The sequence below is a fragment of the Homo sapiens genome, chromosome 8, assembly GCF_000001405.40.
Source record: "Homo sapiens chromosome 8, GRCh38.p14 Primary Assembly".
In the NCBI taxonomy this organism is placed as follows: Eukaryota; Metazoa; Chordata; class Mammalia; order Primates; family Hominidae; genus Homo; species Homo sapiens.
The window spans coordinates 144,291,182-144,316,741 of record NC_000008.11 but is presented as its reverse complement, the minus strand read 5'-3'; the positions used below and the strand labels follow the sequence as shown (position 1 = coordinate 144,316,741).

Below are 25,560 nucleotides of genomic sequence, written 5' to 3'. Positions count from 1 at the left end.
ATGGCCGACTGACTTGGCCCCTCACTCCCTAGATCCCACTGGCCTGGTTCGTGGGCCGCTTTTTCCAGGGCAACTATGGCAACGCAGCTGTGTGGCTGTCGCTCATCATCGGACAGCCAATAGCCGTCCTCATGTACGTCCACGACTACTACGTGCTCAACTATGAGGCCCCAGCGGCAGAGGCCTGAGCTGCACCTGAGGGCCTGGCTTCTCACTGCCACCTCACACCCGCTGCCAGAGCCCACCTCTCCTCCTAGGCCTCGAGTGCTGGGGATGGGCCTGGCTGCACAGCATCCTCCTCTGGTCCCAGGGAGGCCTCTCTGCCCCTATGGGGCTCTGTCCTGCACCCCTCAGGGATGGCGACAGCAGGCCAGACACAGTCTGATGCCAGCTGGGAGTCTTGCTGACCCTGCCCCGGGTCCGAGGGTGTCAATAAAGTGCTGTCCAGTGACCTCTTCAGCCTGCCAGGGGCCTGGGGCCTGGTGGGGGGTATGGCCACACCCACAAGGGCGAGTGCCAGAGCTGTGTGGACAGCTGTCCCAGGACCTGCCGGGGAGCAGCAGCTCCACTGCAGCAGGGCGGGCATGGCCGGTAGGGGGAGTGCAAGGCCAGGCAGACGCCCCCATTCCCCACACTCCCCTACCTAGAAAAGCTCAGCTCAGGCGTCCTCTCCTGGTGCTACTCCTGCTGGGTGTGCGGGAATCGGCACTCTGGCCCTCAGTGCAGGATGGTCAACTTGCACCCACCGTGCTCAGCTTCAGCTTGGGAAGAGGTCGGCCCTGGGTTTGCGGGAAGTGGGCTCCAGCCAGGATGGCCCAGGGATGGGCAGTCCACAGGGCCTTTCTGGTGTGGGTCTGGTGAGCCGAGGGGCTACGGTACACAATGGCTATGTCCATGGCTATTCGCCTTGGGGCAGGGCTCGGTTTGGCAGCCTCTTTCCTTCACTTGGAACCTGGGCAGCCAGGTGGGCTGGTGGCTCTCAGCTGCCCTCCACGAGGTTGGGGCACCCCTGATCCCCAGGCCTGCCTTGCCCTCTGCTCTTCTGGCACCAGGCTGGGCAGTGCAGACAGCGCAGCCCTGCAGCCTTCAGGACACCTTGTTCCCAGGCCCTGCAATCCACCAAGCTGGATAGATGGGGCCCCCCTTGATGGTAGCGGGAGGTCAGGGGTAACCCCAGGGCCCTGCTGCTGCCTTACCTTGCTGGGGTGACTGCTTGATTAAAGACCCCAAGACTGGACCAGGCCCTGGTGTCCCCAGACCTGCAGCTATGGCCCAACAAGGCAGGTGTTTGAGGAGGCCCTGCACAGGGTCCCAGGACTGCACCAGGGGCCTCATCAGCAACCTGCTGAACTGGTGGTGTGAGGGGAGGGTGGGCTCCCTTGGTGGTATCCTCCCTCTACCCCAGTGGGGGCTGGTGGGCCCTGAGATGGAGGCATCTCCTTGGGCCCTGCTGAGGATGGCAGTAGTGGGTGAGCTCCTGGTGGGGGGATGGGTGTGGGGCCGACTCCTCCATCCCACATGGGCTCCTGTGCCTCTCCCTATCAGTTGGCCAGTGGAGCTCGAGAACAAACTGTTGCTGCCAGATAAAGCAGCAAAGCCTGCTCCACTGCCCAGCGCAGGCCCCCTTCCCTTCCTCCACCAGGCTGAGTGGAGAACCCTAAAGCTACGGGACAGGCTCCCGTTCCCCGTGCCTACACAGGGTGCTGGCTCTGGCAGAAAGACAGTGTGCCCGCCCCGCATCACCTGTCCGAGTGCGAACACCTTGGGAAGGGGGTTCCTGGTGGTCCTGTGACAACCAGAGACCCCCAGGGCCAAGGTGAGGCGCCCACCCCTGGTCCCTCAATAAAGAACTGCAAGCACATGCTGGTCCTGGGGAGTCGGGCAGGCACGGAGCTAGCTGCAAGCATCCGTCTTCCCCCAGGAGGCCACTGCAGCCCGGCCCTTCTGTGCCCTGGGCCCCTCCTCATTGCAGCACCACCCACCGCACCACCCTGGGACAGAGGAAACACATGGAGGCCATAGCATAGAGCCTGTCTGTTTATAGATCTCTGCCTGTCTTGTCCGTCCATCCACTGTGTGTATATATCTGTGTATCTCTGTGGAGCGGGGAACGGGACAGTTGTGTAAAAATCCAAAATACAATTCTGACTATGAACAACCTGCAGGGTCAGTCCAGGTGTGGCTGTGAAGCCCCAACCAAACCACAGGACACGGGGTTGGGGGAAGGCAGACTGGCAGGCCAGGGTGACCCTCCTGACCAGAGGTGCTGCCCAGACCCGAGCCCGTTTGTCCTACTGGGGCTATGGCGGCCGACCCACCAGTGCCCAAGACCGCGAGGCTGCCCTGCCTCCCCAAGACCAGCCCTGCACTGGGGGTGGGGGTGGGCGGCTGGCCCAGCTCCTCCGGGGCCTCTAGGAGACAGTGGGGTCCTTGGCTTTGGGAGGCTCCGAGCCTGTCAGCAGGGAGATGGTGGGGTCCTCGGCGAAGCCGTCCCCTTCGGAGAAGTAGGAGCCCTCTCCCAGCTCAAACAGCACCGGCAGGTCGTTGCTCCCGGTGTCCACGGAGCCGGGGTCCAGCAGGAACAGCGGCTGCGCTGTGTAGTGCACCAGCTGCTTCCCTGCGGGGGTGGGGGTGTCAAGGCGGTGGGGGGTTGGGGGCAGAGGTGGGGCCGGTGGGACTTGGCTCACCTGAATCCGGGCTGCTGTTCTCTGCCTCGGGAGGCCTGGGGGGCTCCTGGGGAGACAGGAGCTCTTGGATCTGTGGGGTGGAGACGGTATTGTGAGCACTCCCGCTGGTCTCGTTCCCCCTCACCCCCCGCCCGCCTACGCACACTGGCCAGGCTGCTGTCAAGGTCAGGCAGGCTCATGTCGGGCACGGTCACCGAGGGGCTGAACAGCTGCGGAGGAGGGAGGGAAGTCAGAACAGCACCCGGGGGCGGGGCGGGGAGGCGGGGCGGGGAGGCGGGGCGGGGAGGCGGGGAGGCGGGGCGGGGAGGCGGGGAGGCGCGGGGAGGCGGGGCGGGGAGGCGGGGCGGCGGCGCGGGGAGGCGGGGAGGCGGGGCGGGGAGGCGGGGCGGCGCGGCGGGGAGGCGGGGCGGGGAGGCGGGGCGGCGGGGCTCCACTCACGTCCAGCAGGGCACTGGTGTCCACGCTGAAGCCGTGGCTGCTCAGCATGGTCTGCAGGTTATCCAGGTTGGAGTCCATAGCATCCAAGTGGTCACTGAGCTCATTCCTGGCCCGGGATAAGGCGGTACCTGAACCAGTGCCCCAGGCCCCACACCCCAATGCCCTCCTGTGGGAGAAGGGCTCCCCTTGACTGTACCCCCCAGGCTGCACCCCCGTGTACGCCTGCACAGGCTGGAGGGGGCAGCGCATTCGAGGACGGCCTGGAAGGCAGTGGAGGCTCTGTGCCCTGCAGGGGTGCGGCTGGGCCTATGCTGGGCATCCCTTTGCCATGAGGGCCTGGGGGCCTTGGTGGCAGTGGACCCAGGAGACAAGGGGCGTATTCAGCTCCAGCACAAGGATCAGGGATTTCAGTGTTCAGGGTTGGTGAGGTTTCCCGTTGCACTGGGAAAACAGGTGGGGCTCTGCTCAGTGTGTGGGTGGCTCAGTCCCTGCCCTGGTGCTGCTGTGGGGATGAGACCCACGGTCTGGTGGCTGTGACCAAGAAAGCCCTAGGCCACAGGGCACACCTGGGCTATGGGACGGACAGCCAGGCTGGGTCCCAGAGGTGCCCTGGAGACCCTGCCTGACAGGAAGTGCAGTCAGCACCGCAGTCTGGATCCTGCCAACACCAGAGGCCGTGCCAGAGCAGGGAGGCCTGTCCCTGTCATCCCTGTCACAGGCAATGACCACAGGCCCGTGGCCAGGGGAGCCATGACGACACTGAGCCCCCGCCACAGAGGGGTCTCGGCTGCTGCCGCCCAGGCCCGACGCTCATGCCCGGCCAGGCTGGGTCTGGTCCACGGCTGTGTGGGAGGGCCCGAGCGCTGGCAGAGCCCTCCTCCCTCCCCAGTGGGGTCAGCGCTAACCCTGGCTGGACTTGGCCATGCGGAGAGGAAGAGGGGCAGGGGAAGAGGCGGGCGACCCTAGACATCTGTGGAGTGCGAGCCAAACTGCAAGATACAAAAACAAGAGCCCCCATTGCAGGCAGGGGCTGGGGGTGTGGAGGCCGGCCCTGCTCACCATCTCCTGCCATGTGTCTGGGCAGCACGACCTGCCAGGGCCCGTGGCCTGTGGCGAGGGTGGCGGCAGCAGGACGGGTGGCTGAGAGCAGGGCCCGGCAGCCTGTCCGGACATGCCCGTGGCTTCTGTGGCGTTTGGGACTGTGGGGTGATCTGGCTGGCACCTGTCTCCCTCCCCAGCCCCGAGCTCCGAGGTTGGGGGTAGGGTCCTGCCTCGCCAGCTGCCCTGCTCAGTCCACTGGGACAGTCGGGGCTGAAGCCCAGGGCTGTGCGTCCAGGCGCTGTGGGTGGGGCCAGGGGTGGGCGGCACTCACTTGTCCAGGCAGGCTACGCTGAGGCACTTTTCAGGGGTGGAGGTGGGCGGGGGGGAGGGAGGCCGGCCCTCGGTGTCCGTGTGGCCCCTGGCGTCCGTGAGGGCTGTGACGGAGGCGGGGGCAGGTTCACTCTCCCGCAGGATGGAGTCAATGAGGGCGGTCGGGGACAAGAGGGTGTCCACGGAAGATGGGCGCCCGGGACTCGCCTCCTCTACCCGGGGGCTCTGAGGCGGGCTGGGGGGCTCCTCCTTGACACGCACCAGGGGGCTGCTGGATAGGGGCCTGCACACGAGGGGGGCCAGGTGAGCTGGCGTCTCGGCCAGCCCCACCTCATCCCCAACTCTGCCCTGGGCCCACAGGGGCTCGCCTCATTGGGGGACAGGATGGCTGGGGTGATGCGGCCCCCACCTCTCGTCTATGCTCCCGCCGGGGGAGGCCATGGGGCTGGCAGGAGCCAGCTCGGTGATGTCGGAGATGATGGGTCCAGAGCTGGCCACAGCATCAGGGGCGTAGAGGCTGGAGCTGCTGTAGGCTGGGGAGGGGGCCTGCAATCAAAGGCAGGAGGTCCATGCAGTGCCGGCAGGGGCAACCCACCCCACTGCCGCCTGCATGCCTGGGCGGGTGCCCTGTCTCCGGCACTCACCGAGTAGGGGCCCGAGCCGTGGACGTGCTCCAGGGAGAACTGCCGGCTATACTTGGGCATGGAATGTGCTGAGCCACTGTCGTTCAGCATCAGGGGGCTGTGGGGAAGGGTGCAGGTCAGCCACCACCCCCCACCTCGGGGTACCCGGGGCACAGCTGACAGAGAAGGGGGACAGCCCTGGGCCCCGGGTGGTGGATGCAGGCATCCCCAAAACCTCACATCTTTCTCTTCACCCCCAGGATCCGGTTTGACTGCACCAGTGAGATCAGGAACTGAATGAGCTGTGGAGAGAGAGGACACAGTTACCCCGGCCCTTGTGGGGCCCCCGCCGGCCCTCTGGCCCTGCCCCCACCTTGTTGACGACTTTCTGTTGCTGGGCATGCTTCTGCCGAAGGCTGGCCACCTCCCGCCACAGAGCCTCATTCTCACTGCAACAGACCAGGCTGGGTCAGTGGGGCCCAATCCCATGAGCCCCAGGGCTGAGGGAGCCCCACAGACCCTCCCTGTCCCCCATGCAGGAGCAGGGGTAAGTGTGACCATGTCTGGCCTGGCCCACCCCAGGATGAGAACTTGTGTGTGGAGGGACTGGGGGCCAGGGCCAGGGCTTGCTGGTCCCACTGCCCCTCCCTGCCGGGGACACCTGGTGTCACGTAGGGTGTTGGGGATGGATCCATGCGAGCCAGGTGCACCCGGATCCTGGCATCCATCCTGGCAAACACCTGGAGGGCTGCCTTGGACACAGGCCAGGAGCAGACCCTTGGGCCGCCCTTCCAAGGCCTGAGCAGCCAGGTTAAGGGAGGACGGTTCTTCAGGCTGCGACACTGGCTGTCCCATGTCCTGTAGGTGCTCAGGGCCCTCGCCAGGCCTGGAGGTGGCTCAGGGGTGGGGAAGAGCTGTCCCCAGCCAGGTGAGCAGGGCCATGACCGCGCTCCTGCTGCTCTGGGAGGCTGGGCCCTGTCAAGCCTGTGAGTCTTCTTGGTAGGCCAGGTCCACGTGGCCGGACTCCAGGAATCACAAAGCCGGTGGCTCCTGCTAGACCCCATGCAGGAGAGTCTGAGGCCAAGGCCTCCTCCATGACGTGGGGGTCAAGAGCGCCTGCTGCACGGAGCCGAGGAAGCCGTACTGGCATTGGGGTTCCCGCATGCCTGGAGCCCCAAAGTGGACGTGAGACCTGAGCTGGCCTTCCGAGGTGGGCTTGCCTCAGTTTCTCAGGTGCCACCGTGTGTTAGGCTCCTGCTAAGGTTTCCCCAGAGCCGCAGGGTCCCGGTGAGGAGGGGCTGGGGGCTAGCTCCATGGGCCCAGGCGAGTGTGGGACAGCGGTTCCAGGAAGGGCCTGAGGTGGGTCTGACCCCAGGCCCGAGGCGGGTGGGACGGGTCTGCTGTGCAAGGCTTGTCCTCAAAAGTAGGCTGGTGGGTCCCGCCAAGCTCGGAGCCAGGCAGAAGCCAATGGCCCAGAGGGCGCTGGGGATGTGCAGAGCAGGGGACCCTCCCAACCCCCTTCTGCACATGGAAAACGGCTGGCCCCAGAGCTGTTGCAGCAGCCACGGGCGGCGGGGCTGGGGCAGAGGCCCAGGGTAGATGTGCGTGGAGCGGGAGGGTGGAGCTGAGCACCTGGCCCCGGTCAGGGCCCTGCCCCCACAGCACCCGGGGCCTCTTGGTGGGCGCCAGGACCCGCTGTGGCCCATAATGCTGGTGTGGGACCTACTGCTTCATGGCCAGGAGCTTGGAGTCCATGCACTCCTGCTTCCCCTTCATCAGCTGCACGTCCGTCAGCAGCTTGGTGACGCTGTCCTGGCGGATCTTTATGTCTTCACTCTTCAGGGTGGACACCTGGATTCCCGAGAGGGACAGGAGTCACTGGAGCAGCCTAGGAGCTTGGCAGGCTCAGGCTCGTCCACTGCAGCCAGGTCCCTCAGGAAGGGGCAGGCTGGGGTGGGAGCCCTCAGGGAGGGGCGGGCGGGGAGAGCTGTGGCAGGTGAGACCGGGCAAGGGTGCAGGGCCGGCACTCACACTGGTCACTTTCCTCTTGATGTTCTCAAGGAGCTGCTCCTGGCCACGCAGGAAGCATGGGTGCTGGAACTCCGTGTCGTCTCTCTCTGGCTTGACCAGGCCGCCCTGCTCGATGTGGACCACTTTCCGGAAGCCATCTGCACATAACAGGGAAGGGGGCAGCTCTGCCTCAGGGCGGGACCAGAACCCCTGAAGAGCGGCCACTGCTCCAGGAGGCTGCTGCGGGGCTTGGCCATGGTCAGACCCTGCCCTGCCCCCTCAGAGCCCATGCCTGGGTGGCCGAGTGGCCTTGGTCTAAGGGAGACCCTGTGTCCCCACAGGGCTCCCTGCGCCCGACACACGTGGAGTACAGCTCCGGCTTCACGGTTCTTCCATGGGGACCCCAGGTTCATACCCACAAGGACCCTCCCCCATGGAAGAGGCGGCTGCTCCCCGGCCCCCAGGCTTGCAGGGTCCCACGCCATGCCCTTGGCCAGCACAGGACGCCCCGTCCTTCATCACAGGGTCCTCCTGCTGGGGTCCCGCCATCTGCAGGTCTGCCTCCCGCACCCCTGCGCTGCCTGGAGGCAGCACTCACACATGTTGAGCTGCCGCACGAAGCTGGCCATGTTGTTGTGCTTGAAGTACTTGGGCAGCACCTCCTTGGCAAACTGGCCCTGGTCGAACACGTGGAAGCTGTTCCCGCTCTGAAAGGGAGACACATGGGTGGGTCACGCGTGGTGGTGAGGGGCAGCGTGCCCAAGCCGCCCCTTCCCCAGGCCGCCCCTTCTGAAACGCAGGCAGTGCACGTTCCACCTGATGGGGCTGGGGCCATGGGAGGCCCAGGGGGCTGGCGGGAGGCGAGTTCGTTCCTGGGACCACCTGCCACACGGGCCTCATCTGTGCAGCGTGACCTGCATCCTCACTGTGAGGCCCAGGACTGGGCGGTGGGCAGATGCGAGGCCTTCCTCTCAGTCGGAAAGCCCCTCCCCAGGGCTTCCAGAGAAGGCCACGTTTCCACTCACAAAGCATCCGCCGCACTCTGGCCACATTTCCACTCACAAAGCACCCGCCGCACTCTGGCCACGTTTCCACTCACAAAGCACCTGTTTAAGCAGGACCTTTCCCTTGGGAACAGCGAAGGAAATGGAGCCCTAATTTCATTACTCCCGAGGAAAACACAGTCGCGTTCAGAAATCCAAATTCAGTCTTGTTTTGTGACGTGAGACAAGAAACAGAGACAGTCAAACACTGCATATACCTTCCTCTTCCATTTCTCTACCGAGCTCAGGCCCAGAGCTATCAGGAGGCGCTGGTGAGGGAGGCATCCCTGTTGGCCGTGGCCGCGGTGGCTCAGAGGGGACATCGAAGGCTTAGGGGACAGCGAGAAGCCCACACGGCGGGGAAGGGGGGCCTGAAGCAGGGCCAGAGAGGGGTGAGGGGTGTCTGCATAGGAAGGGGCGGCTGACTCAGTGAAGAAACTGGTGAAGGGCAGTGGGGCAGGTTTCTCCCTGCCAGGGAAGGGAGCTGCAGATGCAAACAGGGAAAAAGCCAGAAAGACCCCCGTGGTGTGGCACTAGAAGTGGAGAACCTCTTTCCAGCATAGAGAGATGTGAAATACACAGGGATGTACACGTGTCAGGGAGGGAAACGGTCACGGAAAGGACCCCAAGGCAGCAGGAGAGAGACGGCGAAAAGCGCCAAGCCAACTTTCCAGAACTCTGAAAGTTAACCAAAGAATTACAGTAGCACGGGGAGCATTTATTCAAGAAAAACAGCTGAATCTTAGTAAGAACAGTGGGCTTTGTGAACTTTTTTTTTTTCTGAGACAAGGTCTTGCTCAGGCTGGAGTGCACCAGCACCAACATGGCTCACTGCAGCCTCTGCATCCCAGTTCAAGCGATTCTCGTGCCTCAGCCTCCCAGTTCAAGCGATTCTCGTGCCTCAGCCTCCCGAGTTCAAGTGATTCTCCTGCCTCAGCCTCCCGAGTAGCTGACTATAGGCGCCACCACGCCCGGCTCATTTCTGTATTTTTAGGAGAGATGGGGTTTCACCATGTTGCCCAGACTGGTCTCGAATTCCTGACCTCAATCAATCCGCCCACCTTGGCCTCCTGCAGTGCTGGGATTACAGGCGTGAGCCTCTGTGCCCAGCCAGGCTTTGTGGCATTTTACATGCCCTATTCCCACTCCATCTGCAGCCTTAAAAACCAACAGCTGCAGTCCCCGTGGGAACAGCGTCCTGGCAGCCGCTGCGGGGTGGGCCAGGGCTTGAGCTCCTCCAGGGCCCCATTCCCAGAGGACTGTCAGCATCTGACCTAAGAGTCCACTCCCAAGGCTGTCTCTGATTTGACTTGAAGCTCTCCTGAATAAAAAAGCTGTTTGCCGAGGTGTGCCTGTTGAAACCTTTACAGGTGATTTTTGAACGCTGTGGCTGCCTGAGGCAGTGCCTGGCAGCTGGGGAGAAGGAGGTGCCACTAGGGGCTCTGAAAAGCTCTGAGATATTCCAGGACATCTCGCAGCCGTGTACACGTGTGAGCCGTGCCCGTGCTCAGGAAAGACCTGAGCCAGCCCCGAGCTCTCACTTCTGGCTGACCTTGAGGCTCTGTGTAAGCAGGAAGTCAGGCATACAGTTGGGTTGTCCACTGCCTGGCCGAGTGCTGAAGGCGTCCCCAACACACACACACACACACACAGCCCCCGGAAAAGACGGGAGACTCACTGGCCCCAGGCATTCAAGAACATTTCTGCCCCATCACCACCTATCTCAGTTAACTGAACAGAGACGGCAGTGGCCATAAACAAGAAAGAACGCAACCTTTACAGAATTAGTGCCGAAAAGCTACCTGACAGATAACCACGACAAACAGCAGCAATGACAAATCCTGGGGAGGTGGGGGAGTCCGAGCTCCAGAGCTGCCACTCTCAACCGATGAGAGTTCCAGTTTTCCAGCCGGCTGCGCTGGTTCACGCCTGCGGTCCCAGCACTTTGGGAAGCCGAGGCGGGTGGGTTGCTCAAGCTCAGGAGTTGGAGACTGGCCTGGGCAACATGGCAAAACCCCGTCTCTAGAAGAAATACAAAAATTAAGTGGGCGTGGTGGCGCACACCTATCATCCCAGCTACTCAGGAGGCTGAGGAGGGAGGATCCCTTGAGCTCCGGAGGTGAAGGCTGCAGTGAGCTGTGATTGAACTACTGCGCTCCAGCCTGGGTAACAGACTCAAAAACAAACAAACAAACAAACAAACAAAAAACTCTAGTTAAAAAAAAAAATAGAGATATGCAAAGAAACAAGAAGCTAGGACCCATACCCCATACACGGGAAAAAAAAAAAAAGGCAATCAATAGAAACTGTCCCCAAAGAAGCCAAAACATTGGACACTGGACTTACGAGGCAAAGATTTTAAGTCAATCATTTCAAATATGTTCAAACAACTAAAGGAAACCACATCTGAAGAACTAAAGTATGAGAATGACATCTTATCAGAGAGTATCAATAAAGAGATAAAAATTGTAAAGAAGCCCGAAATCAAAATTATGGAGCTGAAGAGTTTAATAACTCAGATTAAAAGTCAACCAGAGGGGCCGGGCGCGGTGGCTCACGCCTGTAATCCCAGCAGTTTGGGAGGCCAAGGCAGGCGGATCACCTGAGGTCAGGAGTTGGAGACCAACCTGACCAACATGGAGAAACCCCGTCTCTACTAAAAATACAAAATTAGCCAGGTGTGGTGGCTCATGCCTGTAATCCCGGCTACTCAGGAGGCTGAGGCAGGAGAATTGTTTGAACCCGGGAGGCAGAGGTTGCAGTGAGCCGAGATCGCGCCATTGCACTCCAGCCTGGGCTACAGAGTGAGACTCCGTCTCAAAAAAAAAAAAAAAAAAAAAAAAAAATTAACCAGAGGGGCTTAAGAGCAGACCTGACTAGGAGAAGAAGGAGTCAGCAAACATGAAGATCAGTCAATTGAGGTGCTCCAGTAGGAGAAAAAAAGACAGAAGGAATAAGAAGGAGGAGCCGGCCAGGCGCAGTGGCTCACGCCTGTAATCTCAGCACTTTGGGAGGCCAAGGTGGTTGGATCACGAGGTCAAGAGATCTAGACCATCCTGGCCAACATGGTCAAACCCCATCTCTACTAAAAATACAAAAAAAATTAGTTGGGCATGGTGGCATGTGCCTGTAATCCCAGCTACTTGGGAGGCTGAGGCAAGAGAATCGCTTGAACTCTGGAGGCAGAGGTTGCAGTGAGCCGAGATTGCACCACTGCACTCCAGTCTAGTGACAGAAAGAGACTCTGTCTCAAAAAAATAAAAACAAAAACAAAAATGAGCAGAGCCTCAGAGACCTGTGAGACACCACAAAAAGTGTAACACAGCCGGGCATGGTGGCTCACACCTGTAATCCCAGCATGTTGGGAGGCTGAGCCAGGCGGATCACCTGAGGTTAGGAATTCGAGACCAGCCTGGCCAACATGGGGAAACCCCGTCTCTACTAAAAATATAAAAATTAGCCGGCACAGTGGCGGGCGCCTATAGTCCCAGCTACTCGGGAGGCTGAGGCAGGAGAATCGCTTGAACCCAGGAGGCAGAGGTTGCAGTGAGCCGAGATCACCCCACTGCACTCCAGCCTGGGGGACAGAGTGAGACTCTGTCTCAATAAAAAAAAAAAAAAAGGATTAAAATGCCTGGTGTGGTGGCTCATGCCTGTAATCCCAACACTTTGGGAGGCTGAGGTGTGTGGATCGTTTGAGGTCAGGAGTTCCAGCCTGGCCAGCATGGTGAAACCCCGCCTCTACTAAAAATGGAAAAATTTTAGTGTCGTGGCTCATGCCTGTAATCCCAGCTACTTGGGAGGCTGAGGCAGAAGAACTGCTTGAACCCGGGAGGTAGAAGTTGTAGTGAGCACAGATCGTGCCACTGCCCTCTAGCCTGGGTGACAGAGCGAGACTCCATCTCCAAAAAAACAGAAACAAAAACAAACCAAAACAAATAAAATAAAAGCATTAAAATAAAAGACCCTGCCACTCAATCTTTGTATATTGGCCGGGTGTAGTTACTCATGCCTGTAATCCCAGCACTTTGGGAGGCCAAGGCAGGAGGATCCCTTGAGCCCAGGAGTTGGAGACCAGCCTGGGCAACATAGCGAGACCCCATCTCTACAAAACATAAAAATTCAATATCCGGCAAAGCTATGCTTTGAAAATGGAGAGATTTCCACTTCTGGAACAGCAATGTGAGGAACTTCATGGAAGTACTTCCTGTGAAACAAGCAAAGCTTAAACCACTTAAAGTCTCAAAACTGTCCTAAACGCATATAACAGATGAACACTTACGGAGTAAAATCTACTGACACCTGGTACGAACATTAAGCCTGGTGGCATCTGAGCCTCAGCCTCCTCTTTCCCTCTCACCCCAGCTCACCATGATGGGTACTACACTCAGGGAGAGGGGAGCAGGAAGATGGGGACCCTTCTCCCCTCAATTCCCAAATAAGGTTTCCTGGATCTCATGGGCTGGGCAGACCACCAGAGTTTCACATCCTCACCGACTCCAAGTTGAAGAGACTAAGATCCTGGTGCACGTGGCCAAGAAGCCAGGGGCTCCCTTCCTCCACCTTGCCCAAGCCTCAGAGAGGAGACTACCCCCGCCACAGCAGGCTGAGGACACCCAGGTCTCTGATCACCCTCCCCACAGCTCCCACCTAATTAAAGCATTTTCAAAACCACAATTTTTTTTTTTATTTTTTATATGGAGTCTCGCTGTCGCCCAGGCTGGAGTGCAGTGGTGCCATCTTGGCTCACTGCAACCTCCGCCTCCTGGGTTCAAGCAATTCTCCTGCCTCAGCTTCCTGGGTAGCTGGTATTACAGGCATGTGCCACCACGCCCGGCTTATTTTTATATTTTTAGTAGAGACAGGCTTTCACCAGGTTGGTCAGGCTGGTCTTGAACTCCTGACCATAAGTGATCCACCCACCTTGGCTTCCCAAGGTGCTGGGATTACAGGCATGAGCCACTGTGCCTGGCCTTAAAAACCACAAGTTTTAAATACAGTTCAGGCTTTCTAGGTTAAAACAGTAGGGTAGAGCACCCATGCTGGGAAAGCCAGGCCAAGAAGATCAGAGGCTGCTGTCTTACCCAGTGCCCAGAAGGGTGGTGCAGAGAAATCAGCCTGGGGAGAGAGGCCGTCCATAAGGAAAGAGCTCTGAAGCTCCCTGAGGAAACTCATTTTATTTGAAAGTTCAGCCCAAGACTGCTCTTGGGAACAACAGCTCCTCTAAGTTAAGAGAAACAAGTGAAACCGCAGGCTTGTTCACCTGCACAGGAAAAGCTACGAAGAGCCCTGCTGGGGCCAGAACAACCCTGACTGACCTCAGACACTACCACTACTCAAAAACCCCAAACACGCCTGCAACAATAATCCAAATAGCGAGACCCCCATCTATACCAAAAAAATGATAGAAGAGACGAAATCATAAAGGACCCCCAGTGGAAACTCTGGAGTAGAATAACCAAAGCAGAACTGCTGGCCGTGTGGTAAATGCTGAATTTCACATGCAACTCCCAAGCTGCTTTCCAAAGCGGATGCAGCATTTGTGTTCTCAGCAGCACGGGTGAGTTCCAGGGGCTCCGCACCCTCCTCAGCACCTGGCTGTTCTAGTCGCTGTCGCTGCGGTTTTCGTGTGCATTCCTCTGACAACGAACGATGCTGAGCACCTGTTCAAGTGCTTATTTGCTATTTGTCTATCTTTTTTTTGATGTATCTGTTCAAATCTTCTGCCTTTTTCAATGTATGTTTTTTCGAGACAGAGTCTGCTTTGTCACCCAGGCTGGAGTGCAGTGGCGCGATCTGGGCTCACTGCAACCTCTACCTCCTGGGATCAAGAGATCCTCCCACCTCAGCCTCCCGCGTAGCTGGGCCCACAGGAGCACACCACCACATCAGGCTCATTTTTTTTTGTAGAGATGGGTCTCCCTATGTTGCCCAGGCTGGTCTCGAACTCCTGAGTGGAAGCAATCTACCCGCGCTGGCCTCCCAAAGTGTTGGGATTACAGGTGTCAGCTACCATGCTCAGCCACTTGCGTTTTATTTATTATTATTATTATCTTTTTTTTTTAGATGGAGTCTCGCTCCACTGCCCAGGCTAGAGTGCAATGGCGCGATCTCAGCTCACTGCAACCTCTGCCTCCCGGGTTCATGCGATTCTCCCACCTCAGCCTCCTGAGTAGCTGGGACTACAGGCACCTGCCATCACGCCCAGCTAATTTTTGTATTTTCAGTAGAGACGGGGTTTCACCATATTGGCCAGGCTGCTTTTGAATTCCTGACCTTGTGATCCGCCTGCCTCGGTCTCCCAAAGTGCTGGGATTACAGGCGTGAGCCACGGCGCCCGGCCTGCCTTTAATTTTTTTTAAATGGTTGTCTTCCTGAGTTGCAAAAAAAAATTTTTTTTTTTGGAGACGGAGTCTCGCTGTGTCGCCCAGGCTGGAGTGCAATGGTGCAGTTTCGGCTCACTGCAGCCTCTGCCTCCTGGGTTCCAGAGATTCTCCCGCCTCAGCCTCCCGAGTAGCGGGGATTACAGGCACCTGCCACCACGCCCAGCTAGTTTTTGTATTTTTAGTAGAGACAAGGTTTCACCATGTTGGCCAAGCTATGTTGCCCCATCTGGGAGCAATCCTTCCACCCGAGCCTCTGAGTAGCTGGCACCACAGGCACCACCACCGTGCACGGCTCTTCTGGATGCTTTTTATTTTTTTTGAGACGGAGTCTCGCTTTGTCGCCCAGGCTGGAGTGCAGTGGTGCGATCTCGGCTCACTGCAAGCTCTGCCTCCCGGGTTCACGCCATTCTCCTGCCTCAGCCTCCCGAGTAGCTAGGACTACAGGCACCCGCCACCACGCCCGGCTAATTTTTGTATTTTCAATAGAGACGGGGTTTCACTGTATTAGCCAGGATGGTCTCGACCTCCTGACCTGGTGATCCGCCCGCCTTGGCCTCCCAAAGTGCTGGGATTACAGGCGTGAGCCACCGCGCCCGGCCTCTTCTGGAGCTTTTAAGATTTTCTCTTCACCAGCCTGTTCCAGCACTTTGATTATATAATGTACCTTGATATGGTTTTGGTTTTATCCTGCTTAAGACTGATATTCTTGGATTTGTGAGCTTACAGCTTTTCAAAAATTTGGGAAAAATTTTGGCCATAATTTTTTTTTTGAGACAGGGCTCTGTTGCCCAGGCTGGAGTGCAGTGGTACGATCATGGCTCACTGCAGCCTCCACCTCCTGCACTCAGGTGATCCTCCCGCCTCAGCCTCCCGAGTAGTTGGGACCACAGGCAGGCACTACCACGCCCGGCTAATTTTTGTATTATTTATAGAGACAGGGTCTTGCTATGTTGCCCAGGCTGGTCTTGAACTCCTGGGCTCAAGCGATCCACCCATGTCAGCCTCCCAGAGTGCTGGGATTTCGGGCAGGAGCCACCGTGTCCAGCCTTTTGGTCATATTTCTGTATTCTCTTCCCCACTGTTTTCTGGAACCTCAAATACGTTAGACCACATGATATTATGTCCTTGAAGCTCGGCTAAGTTTTTGCAGTCCTTTTTCTCCCTGTACATCACTGTGGACAGTTTCCATTGCTTTTAGTTCAGGAATCTTTTCTTCTGAAGTTTCTAATGTTTTGTTAAACCGCTCCGGTGACTCTGAAGAACCACCTTTTTACTTTAGAATACATGCCCTACACCAGTGTCCCCCATCATTAACATCCTGCCTTTGTGTGGTACAGTTGTCTCAAGAACATTAGACACATTGTTAACTAGGACCCACATTCTAATCAGATTCCTTAGCTTTTTACCCAATCCTTCCTCTGCTCCAGGACATCATCCAAAATCCATCCAGTTGTCACATCTTCTTCAGTCCCACTGACTCTGGCACCTTTCAGACTTGCCTAGTTTTTGAGAACCTTGACAATTTTGAGGACTCGTCAAACAGTTTGTGGAATGTCTCTCAATTTGGATTTGTTTGATGTTTTTTCATCATTAGCTGGGGTTACGTATGTTTTTGGGAGGAAGATCAAAGAGGTAGAGTGCTGTTCTCATCATCCTATCAAGAGTACACAACAGGCCGGGCGCGGTGGCTGACGCGCCCAACACTTTGGGAGGCCAAGGTGGGCGGATCACGAGGTCAGGAGATTGAGACCATCCTGGCTAACACGGTGAAACCCCATCTCTACTAAAAATACAACAAAATTAGCCGGGCGAGGTGGCGGGTGCCTGTAGTCCCAGCTTCGTGGGAGGCTGAGGCAGGAGAATTGCTTGGACCTGGGAGGTGGAGGTTGCAGTGAGCCGAGATTGTGCCACTGCACTCCAGCCTGGCAACAGAGCGAGACTCCGTCTCAAAAAAAAAAAAAAAAAAAAAAAGAGTACACAACAGTGATACGCATGTCACTGCTGATGGTGAGCATGGTCCCTGGTGAGGCTGTGTTGCTGGAGGTCTCCACTGGAAAGCTGCTCCTCCTGCTTCTGTGCTCTGCTCTTTGGAAGAGGGTCACTAGGTAAAGCCCAGGCTTCTGGAGTGAGGAGTTAAGCATCACCTCCTCGAAGGGGAACTATCTCAGTAAACAATGTGGAATTCTTCTACTTGGGAGATTAGTTCCAGTGACATTTTGTCCAACTTGCTTCTTTTCTGTATCTTCCATTTCTCAGTCATGTTTTCTTATTTTTTGAGACGGGGTCTCGCTCTGTCACCCAGGCTGGAGTGCAGTGGCACGATCTTGGCTCACTGCAAGCTCCACCTCCCGGGTCCAAGCAATTCTCCTGCCTCAGCCTCTGGAGGAGCTGGGACTACAGGTGCCCGCCACCACGCCCGGCTAATTTTTTGTATTTTTAGTAGAGACGGGGTTTCACCATGTTAGCCAGGATGGTCTTGATCTCCTGACCTCGTGATCCACCCGCCTCGGCCTCCCAGAGTGCTGGGATTACAGGTGTGAGCCACCACGCCCAGCCCTCAGTCACATTTTTGTGTTATTTCTTTGAGCACAGGGAACATTTTTATAATTGTTTACTGTCTTTGTTGGCTAATCCTATCAAAACTGGGCCTGCTACTGGACCCCCTCCAGTGACAAGTCCATTTTTCTGCTTTGGCTTGTCTGCCCATGACTGATTAGATTCTGGACGTGAATTTTTTTTTTTTTTTTTAGAAGGAGTCTTGCTCTGTTGCCCAGGCTGAAGTGCAGTGATGCGATCTCGGCTCACTGCAACCTCTGCCTCCCGGGCTCATGTGGTTCTCTTGCCTCAGCCTCCCAAGTAGCTGGGACCACAGGCGCCCATCACCACACATGGCTAATTTTTTGTAGTAGAGACGGCGTTTCACCATATTGGCCAGGCTGGTCTTGAACTCCTGACCTCAGATAATCCGCCTGCTTCGGCCTCCCAAAGTGCTGGGATTACAGGTGTGAGCCACTTCGCCTGGCTTCCTTCTCTCAAGAGTGCTGTGTGTACTCCGTGCTAGCAGGCAGTGGTGTTTCCAGGGCTTGCCTTGCACTTGTTTCCACGGCATTGGAGTGGCCTTTCCTCTGCAGCTTATTCTGCGCCACTTCCAAGCTGTGTTTCCTCTAAGGTGTCATGAAAGCTCCTTGTATTTAAAGTGGCTTCTATACTCTGGCTGGTGGGAACTGAAATAACCACGGCCCTGTGTGAGTCCTGCTCATCTGTCCCCTTACACTTACTCTTCCCCTTCAAGTTGCTCTTGGTCCAGCTCCACGAGGTTTCACTGTGTGCACCAGCAAATCGGATCCAACCCAAGATGCAAGCGGGCTCACGCGCAGATTGCTGGAGCTCTTTGTTTTGGGCGTAACTCCTTCCTTTCTGGTACCACACCCCACACATTCTAGCTGCCTCAGCTGCCCCAAAGTCTGGGTTTGTTGGGTTCTCTGCACGTGAGTCTGCAAATTCCCTCCACATAAAAAGCCTGGACAATTTTGTGGTTTACCTCAGTCCTCGCCGGTTTTTTCTTTTCTTTCTTTTTTTTTTTTTGAGACAGTTTCTCGCTCTGTGGCTGGAGCGCAGCGGCGCAATCTCGGCTCACTGCAACCTCTGTATCCCAGGTTCAAGTGATTCTCCTGCCTCAGCCTCCCGAGTAGCTGGGATTACAGGCACGCACCACCACGCCTGGCTATTTTTTTTTTTTTTGTATTTTTAGTAGAGACGGGGTTTCACCATGTTGGTCAGGCTGGTCTTGAACTGCTGACCTCAGGTGATCCAACCGCCTCAGCCTCCCGAAGTGCTGGGATTACAGCCGTGAGCCACCGTGCCCGGCCCTAGTTTTGTAACGTCTGAACATTTTCAGCGGCTTCTTATGCCTTAAGGGTTAAATCCAAGTTGAACATGTCAGGCAACCCCTACCTTAGGGGCCATTATGAATTTCACAGGGTCTGCTGGTGAACCCATCAGAGAACCCAGTGTCTCTCTCATCTTCCTGCCTCAGTGGAACAAGGTCCCTCCTCTGCTGACCACAGGCACCTCTTGGAGGAGTCACCGGTCATAACTGGATATCACGAAAACCTGCCACTGGAAATGGGAGGCCCCTGGCTGGTGCGAGATGCCACACGCTGAGAAGTGTAGGTGTCAGCAAACCCCGCAGCTTGCAGTAAACTTGGAGCCTGTGGCCTCATTTTCTGCAGCACTGTGAAGGACCTGAAATGTGTGTGAGATCCTGCCTGTAGGGACACCTTACATAGAAAGTGTCTGTGTCTCTGAGTATCTTCTCAAAGGGCTCCCTGGCCCAAAACGTGAACAGTGCCGTATTCTACAAGGTGGCCCCACAGCCCAGGCCACAAGCCTCTTGTTCCAGCCTCCTGCCAAGTCAAAGCTGTATCTGCTGACCGGTGATCTGGGCTCCTGGGCTCGGCTGGCCGGCTGTTCCCTCTCCGGGTCCCGGGAGTATAGGCTTTAGGAGCAAAGGGAGCGCGTGTGTGAGTAGCTGTGGCCCACGTGTGGGGAGCAGGGACCACCGGAGTCAGGGCATGGAAGCAGTGAGGCAGGCAGGAAGCGCGAGCAGGTGCAGACAAAGTGGCTCACTTTGTGGCCCCGTTCCCTGGTCTGGTTCTGTCCACATCTGAGCCACCCGCACCTTTCTCATAAACACTCTTCTTGTTTCCGCTCTGGAGGAGCTTCCAGCGTGTTCTCGCCACACAAGGACCAAGAGCAGCACAATCGCCCTCATCTCTCATCACATCTCGTCACTGGCTGCCGTGCACAAGTGTGGTGGCTACTGCTGCTCACCATGGCCCACAGGGTCACAGGGAGGAGGCTGAGGCAGCAGCAGCCCTTGCTGCCAGGTGCCTTGAGACATTTGGGACCACCTCCTTTCCTTAGACAGCCTCCCCTCCACCTGCCAGACCTTGAGGAGACCCTGGAGCCAACAGCCCTCAATATACCCGATGGGAGCTGCTTGCTTCCTCTGGGAAGGCACTGTGAGCCCCACCGACCCCTCTCCAGCTCGCCCTGCACACAGGCTGACTCCTCCAAAACTGAGAGACTTTCAGGGCCAGGCTGTCCATCCCTGGTCCCTCAATAAAGGACTGAGCAAACACTAGCCTGTGGAGTTGGGTGGGCATGGGGCACCGGAGGCATCTGCCTCCCCCCAGGAGGCCACTGCAGCTCAGCCCTTCTGTGCCCTGGGCCCCTCCTCACCGCACCCCCCCCACCACACCATCCGGGGCAGAGGAAACACAGGAGGCTACAGCACAGAGCCTTTTTAATTTTTTCTGTGCTATGCACAGAAGCTGTATGAGGACAGATGTGTGCCTTCTTTTTTTTTTTTTTTGAGATGGAGTCCCGCTCTGTCACCCAGGCTGGAGTGCAATGGCGCGATCTCAGCTCACTGCAAGCCCCGCCTCCTGGGTTCACGCCGTTCTCCTGCCTCAGCCTCGCAAGTAGCTGGGACTACAGGCACCCACCACCACGTCCAGCTAGTTTTTTGTATTTTTTAATATAGACGGGGTTTCACCATGTTAGCCAGGATGGTCTCAATCTCCTGACCTCCTGATCTCGTGATCCGCCCACCTCAGCCTCCCAAAGTGCTGGGATTACAGGCGTGAGCCACCACGACCAGCCCCAGCTGTGTGCCTTCTTATGGCCACACCAGGAGGCACTATGGTCCGGGCACACATCAGGCCCTCCAGACCCTGCAGCACTTCTCACAGCTGCTGCTGTGGGGCCTCCAGCATCTTGGGCCAAATACCAGATCTTCCAGGGTGGGGCCAGTGGGCCTGCTGGGTCTTGGCGGCTCTCAGAACCAGGGAAGCAGGGGTGGCCCTGCCTGCCGTGGGAGCTCCGGACACGATCTGTGACCAGGGTCTGAGTGACTGAGCGTGGCCAGGTCGGCTCTGCTTCTGCAACTCCTCGTGTGCTTATGAGTGGACGCCCTGCCCTGCCTTACTTCAGGGACCCCTCAGGCCCTGCCCCCTGCCTCACTGCAGGGACCACTCTGCTCCCAATTGTCCACCCAGAGACCCTCCACAGCGGCCACCTGACCACTGGCTTTCAATGGAACTCTCTCCCGCGATAGGCCGAGGGCCTTGGTGACCTCCAGCTCACTCAGTCTCAGGGAGCCCCAGGGTTTCAGCACATCCTTCTAGAGTCTTTCCAGCTGCACCCATGAGGCTGGGGCCAGGTGAAGACAGAGAAGCATCCAGGAGCCCACATCTAAGGAGGCCCCCACTCCCAGCGCCATCCGAATGCAGGTAGGTCTTAAAAAGGAATGCCTCAGGGCCAGGCGCGGTGGCTCAAGCCTGTAATCCCAGCACTTCGGGAGGCTGAGATGGGAGGATGGCTTGAGCCCGTGAGTTCCAGACTAGCTTGGGCAATACGGCGAGACCCTGTCTCTACTAAAACCTTAAAAAGAAAAAAAAAAAAAAGCCAGGTCTGGTGGTGCAAGCCTGTAGTCCCAGTGACTCAGCTGAGGTGACTGGATCACTTGAGCCTGGGAGGCAGAGGCTGCAGCGAGCTGCAATCATAGCCCTGCACTCCAGCCTGGGCAACAGAGCGAGACCTTATCTAAAAAACAAAAAGTGCTTCCTTAAATTTTGCACCCAGGTGCCCCCTCTGGCCTCACCCTGATCCTGAGGCCTCCGTCTACCTGGGTTCGTTCTAACCTGCGTGACCATCATTCTAGCATTTGTCTGGCACAGGTCATGTGGCTGTGCCTTGTTCTCAGGCTCCTCAGCCAGCTGGGTGGCTCCTGGGGCTGTAATCTCACCATCTCAGATGTCGAGATTACTTTTCATACTTCCTTATCTTGTTAATAAAGATGGGACAAAATCATAGCTTGTAAAAAACTGGGATGATGGTGAACCCAGTTCTGAGGCTTCACTTTCTGCTTTTGTTTGGTTCTCCATGCTGTCAAATTCTCTGAAGAGGCTGTTGCCCTCCTGAGTCAGCTGCAGCCCAGCAAGGCCCTAGAAGAGCCTCTGCTGGTGGACAGAGGAGCTGCTGCATGCAGACGAGGAAGCTGGGCTGAGGGCCGGCACCAGGGCACGGGGCAGGGAGGCTGCGGGTCCCGGGTCTCATGGGTCTCAGTTCTATGGAGGTGCCTGTCAGTCCAGGTATTCAGTCCCCCAACCCCGTCTTTGGGTCTCAGTGGTACTGGATCCAGGTGTACCTTTGGGAGAAGCTGTTGAGAAGCTGGCTGAGGGAGGACCACCCACGTGCACGCCCATGCTCTTATGTGGATCCCCGGGATCATAACCTTGTGGCTGACACATTTCCTCTCCAAGGCTGTGCTGTCCTCCACGACTTGCTGGGTCCCCTCAAGGCCCTTGCCTGTGTGGGTGGGGTGCTCATGGGAATGAGGGTCTTGGGAGGGGGGGGTGGGAAATCAAACAACACAGGGATGGGGTAGCTGCCACAGTCCCCACCAATGGGGTCTCCTGGGCAGTGACCCGGCATTCTGCCTCCAGTGGCTGCAGTGGGAGTCCTGATCTCAGGCCAGGGAGGGGACGTGCAATGGTGGTCCAGACCTGGTCCCATTCCTGGCCAGGCTCAGTAAAGTTACTGGCCAGTTTCTGGGCCTCGGTCTCCCCCAGGTTATTCAGCCTTGAGAGTTAGTCACCATGCCTGTGATTCTGCCTCATCTTCTTGTGTCAAATAGGGAGGGTTTTTCTTGGCAGAATGGTGGTAAGACTCTGAGCCAGAAGGAGACTCTCCCAGAGAAGGCAGCAGAGAGCAAGAGCACCAGGGCCTTCTCAAGGCCTCCGAGAGCCAGCTGGGCCTGGGCAGTAGATTTGTGGGAGGGTGCCCTGTTGGGACTCTGCTGACAGGGAGTCCTCAGGGCTTGTGTGAGTGCTCTCAAAGTCACAGGATGGGATGATCACCTCCTTTCTCCAGGCCAGGCAGCCAGCGCCGGAAAGCTCTGCAGCCCCCTGCGCGGCCTGGAGAAGGGCTTCCTTCCAGTTTTAAGTCAGTGTTTCTGTCTCATTGCCATGCTCGCCCCCAGTGCTACGTCCTGCACCAACCATTGCCACTTCATACTGACCAGGTGGAACCAAACACTCACATTCCAGTTGGCTCCCCATCCCTCCCCAGGGAGAACAGATCCACAGGTGGTGCACCTGTGAGTGGAGTGGAGGCTGGCCACGGGCCTCATCACACCTGCCTTCCTTGCTCAAAAGCCCTGCCCAGAACATGCCTCGGTCCCAAAAAAGGGTACACTGGGCCCTAACCCACATGCCTCATAATCTTTAAGCAGAAACAGCAAGCAGATTACGGGACAGGACAGATCACGCTAGTAGGATTAAGCTTAGAATATCCCAGATAATCGCGGATGCCCCTCCCCCAATGGGGGAGTTATTCCCCTTAACTTCTGAGGATTAAGGGGAATAAGAAAAAGAAGAAGGGCTGGGTGCAGTGGCTCACACCAGTAATCCCAGCACTTTGGGAGGCCAAGGCGGGTGGATAACTTGAGGTCAGGAGTTCCAGACCAGCCTGTCCAATGTGGTGAAACCCCGTCTCTACTAAAAATACAACAATCAGCCGGGTGTGGCAGCACGCACCTGTAGTCCTGGCTACTCGGGAGGCTGAGGCAGAATTGCTTGAACCCGGGAGGTGGAGGTCGCAGTGAGCCGAGATCGCACCACTGCACTCCAACCTGGGTGACAGAGCAAGACTCGGTCTAAAAAAAAAAAAAAGAAAAAAGAAAAAGACGGATAAAAGAAGACAGAAACATGGGAGTATTTCCTTTGCACAAGAATCCAAGGTCTAGAATGAAGAGATGGTGAAATGAAGCCAGCCTCCAGGAAGGTGCACTGTGCCTTAATGGGACCTGGGGATGGGAAGGCCAACACAGAGGTGTCAGCGGGACAAACACAAAGTGTTTCTAACAAGAGCAAAGATTTCCAGTCTTCTCTTTATTTCCAAACACTCTGTAGGTAAAGCAGAGCCTCAGTAAACCCAAGAAGCAGAAAACCTGGCCTCCTGCCTGGGGCAGCTTCAGTTTAGACTTTTCTTCATTCCTAACAGCATAAAGAGGCTGTGCAAATGGGAGGCACTCAGCAGAGCCTGAAGAACTCTGGGGTCTTAGCTCCTGGGAGGCCACACATGCTTGGTGGCACCCTGCCGGTCACGGTGCCTCCAAAAGCTCCCAATGATCAGTGGCCTTTCTTTTTTTTCTTTTTTTTCTTAGACAGGGTCTCACTCTTTGCCAGGCTGCAGTGGCGGGATCTTGGTTCAGTGCAACCTCTGCCTCCCAGGTCCAGGGAGTCCTCCTATCTCAGCCTCCCAAGTAGCTAAGACCACAGGCAAGCACCACCACGCCCGGCAAATTTTTTGTATTTTTAGTAGAGCTGGGGTTTTGCCATATTGTCCGGGCTGGTCTCGAACTCCTGGCCTCAAGTGATCCACCCGCCTCCGCCTCCCAAAGTGCTGGGATTACAAGCAAGAGTCACCCCACTCGGCCAGTGTGGCCCTTCTTCAGGTCATCACTTGCCAGCCGCAGGCGGTGGCTCTGCCCCTCACCGGACACGACGTCACAGCCGGGATGTGAACAGCAGATTCTGATCTCCAACTCCAGACAATCACTGATTTACTTCTGCAAACCGGAGCTGTCCGGTCTTGCAGGGTCGGACCATGTAAACAAGCCTGCTGCCAGGCAACTGAAGACAGAAACACGAATAAAGATGCCCCATAAGGAATGAAAAACAAAACTCCTCTTGGGAAACCCAGATTTGGGATTCGGAAACGGGCTTGAGATCAACCTGAAGCTTCATGACGTCTTACTGTTTCCACTGCCTTTCCTGTTCCACTACAGCAACGCCCTCCACTTCACGTGCCAAGTCCTGACTTTCTCCTAATAGTTGCCGACCCAGCACCCCGTAGGCTGTCCCCTGGGGACGCCGATGTCCTCTGGGGCATAGCGTCCGCTGGCGAAGCCGGGTGCTTGCCCTAAGCGCGGACACTTCCGCAACCGCCCAACAGTTAGCAGAAGCCCAATACAAGAGACGCCCCATTCTCCCCATCCCAGGGAAACTTCGCTGGGGCAGGGGTTGAACCGAGTGTGGGTCTCGTAGCCGCTTTCCCAACTTAAGGCTCTGGGTCTGAGCAGGCTCGGGACCCGCCGCCCTTCTCTGGCGGGGGCAGGGCAGGCTCACCGCGCGTAAGCTGAAGTGCGGCAGGGCCCCTCCCCGCAGCCCTCCCGCGCCGTCCGCCGCGGCCCTGCTCCCTCCCGGTCCCCACGGGCCCCGCGCCCGCGCGCTGCCCTCACCGGGCTCCAGCAGATGAGCGCGTCGGTGTCCGGGTCGCTCACGAGGGTCCACAGCTTGGTCAGGAAGGCCGGGACGTTGCTGGGCCCCGCCGCGCCGGGGCCCACGGGCAGATCCATCTCGAGCAAGGAGGGAATAGGCGGAGGGAGCGGCCGCAAAGAGGGGCCGAGGGCCGGGCTAACGCCGTCGCCGCGCCAGCCTTCCGGGCCGCGCCGCCGCCCGCTGCGCACACACAGCCCCGGGGCCCAGCATGGCCGCCGCCATCTTGCAACGGGCGCGCTCCCGCCGCCGCCGCTGCCGCCCTCCCGCGTCACCCCCGGCGCGAGCACGCAGGCCCCGACCCCGCCCTGGTCCCCGGCCCAGCCGCGCGCCTGCGCGTGTTGGTCCCACCCCCTTCCCTCCACCCGCCAATCGGGGCCGGGCTGGGCGGGGCGCGTCCTCCTGCGCACGCGGCCCGGTCGCTGTCGGAAGCGGCTGTGCGGGTGGCGGCCGGCGCGCGGTGGGGCATGGCGGGTTCGCGGGGTGCGGGGCGCACGGCGGCGCCGAGCGTGCGGCCGGAGAAGCGGCGGTCTGAGCCCGAACTGGAGCCTGAGCCCGAGCCGGAGGTGACTGTGGCGATGCGGGGCGGCGGGGCGCGTCCCTAGAGGGCCCGGCGGGCACGTGGCCGCGCTGGGGCGGGTGGGCCCGGCTTCTGT

General features: G+C 57.8%; 4 protein-coding genes across 17 annotated transcripts in view, besides 6 other annotated features; 3 read left to right on the top strand and 1 right to left on the bottom strand.

Annotated features, from left to right (window-relative positions):
- Positions 1–2,158, top strand: part of DGAT1 (diacylglycerol O-acyltransferase 1) — a 12,269-nt gene extending 10,111 nt beyond the window's left edge. For all 5 annotated transcript variants that reach the window (NM_012079.6, XM_047422387.1, XM_011517356.4 and 2 more), the window contains one exon: positions 33–2,158. In NM_012079.6, the coding sequence (NP_036211.2) occupies positions 33–188 (156 nt within the window). In that variant the 3' untranslated portion in view covers positions 189–2,158. The remainder of the gene's footprint in view (positions 1–32) is intronic.
- Positions 329–388: an enhancer, noted in NCBI's record as "active region_28092". NCBI's record gives its function as "activates an Ori minimal core promoter by ATAC-STARR-seq in GM12878 lymphoblastoid cells {active_cell/tissue: GM12878}" and the evidence as "EXISTENCE:reporter gene assay evidence [ECO:0000049][PMID:35858748]".
- Positions 1,172–2,158, top strand: LOC124902050 (uncharacterized; the record flags this gene model as incomplete). The annotated part of the gene is made up of 2 exons (XM_047422537.1): positions 1,172–1,816; positions 1,922–2,158. A coding segment is annotated over one exon (621 nt), but the record flags the coding sequence as incomplete, so codon positions are not given.
- On the bottom strand, positions 2,022–25,138 carry HSF1 (heat shock transcription factor 1). Of its 10 annotated transcripts, none has more exons than XM_005272315.4 (14): positions 24,868–25,138; positions 7,728–7,836; positions 7,151–7,287; positions 6,846–6,970; positions 5,493–5,568; positions 5,360–5,421; positions 5,141–5,237; positions 4,906–5,042; positions 4,498–4,779; positions 4,031–4,114; positions 3,126–3,231; positions 2,831–2,896; positions 2,688–2,757; positions 2,022–2,617 (listed from the first exon to the last, which is right to left on the bottom strand). In XM_005272315.4, the coding sequence occupies exons 1-14, from the start codon at positions 24,982–24,984 to the stop codon at positions 2,412–2,414; spliced, it is 1,674 nt and encodes a 557-aa protein (XP_005272372.1). In that variant the 5' UTR covers positions 24,985–25,138; the 3' UTR covers positions 2,022–2,411. The 10 variants fall into 10 exon arrangements, with proteins under 10 accessions (XP_005272372.1, XP_005272373.1, NP_005517.1 ...); XM_005272316.4 differs by having other exon boundaries at positions 2,022–2,609; NM_005526.4 differs by lacking the exon at positions 4,031–4,114.
- Positions 3,426–3,957: an enhancer, noted in NCBI's record as "H3K4me1 hESC enhancer chr8:145536471-145537002 (GRCh37/hg19 assembly coordinates)". NCBI's record gives its function as "activates a minimal SCP1, AML or CMV promoter by ChIP-STARR-seq in naive H9 embryonic stem cells {active_cell/tissue: H9 hESC(naive)}" and the evidence as "EXISTENCE:reporter gene assay evidence [ECO:0000049][PMID:30033119]".
- Positions 24,003–24,659: an enhancer, noted in NCBI's record as "H3K27ac-H3K4me1 hESC enhancer chr8:145515765-145516421 (GRCh37/hg19 assembly coordinates)". NCBI's record gives its function as "activates a minimal SCP1, AML or CMV promoter by ChIP-STARR-seq in naive H9 embryonic stem cells {active_cell/tissue: H9 hESC(naive)}" and the evidence as "EXISTENCE:reporter gene assay evidence [ECO:0000049][PMID:30033119]".
- Positions 24,341–24,400: an enhancer, noted in NCBI's record as "active region_28091". NCBI's record gives its function as "activates an Ori minimal core promoter by ATAC-STARR-seq in GM12878 lymphoblastoid cells {active_cell/tissue: GM12878}" and the evidence as "EXISTENCE:reporter gene assay evidence [ECO:0000049][PMID:35858748]".
- Positions 24,791–24,950: a silencer, noted in NCBI's record as "silent region_19671". NCBI's record gives its function as "represses an Ori minimal core promoter by ATAC-STARR-seq in GM12878 lymphoblastoid cells {active_cell/tissue: GM12878}" and the evidence as "EXISTENCE:reporter gene assay evidence [ECO:0000049][PMID:35858748]".
- Positions 25,061–25,560: a silencer, noted in NCBI's record as "silent region_19670". NCBI's record gives its function as "represses an Ori minimal core promoter by ATAC-STARR-seq in GM12878 lymphoblastoid cells {active_cell/tissue: GM12878}" and the evidence as "EXISTENCE:reporter gene assay evidence [ECO:0000049][PMID:35858748]".
- BOP1 (BOP1 ribosomal biogenesis factor) overlaps positions 25,304–25,560 on the top strand; it is a 29,394-nt gene continuing 29,137 nt past the window's right edge. The window contains exon 1 of the mRNA NM_015201.5: positions 25,304–25,470. Coding sequence (NP_056016.1) covers positions 25,372–25,470 — 99 coding nt within the window. The 5' untranslated portion in view covers positions 25,304–25,371. The remainder of the gene's footprint in view (positions 25,471–25,560) is intronic.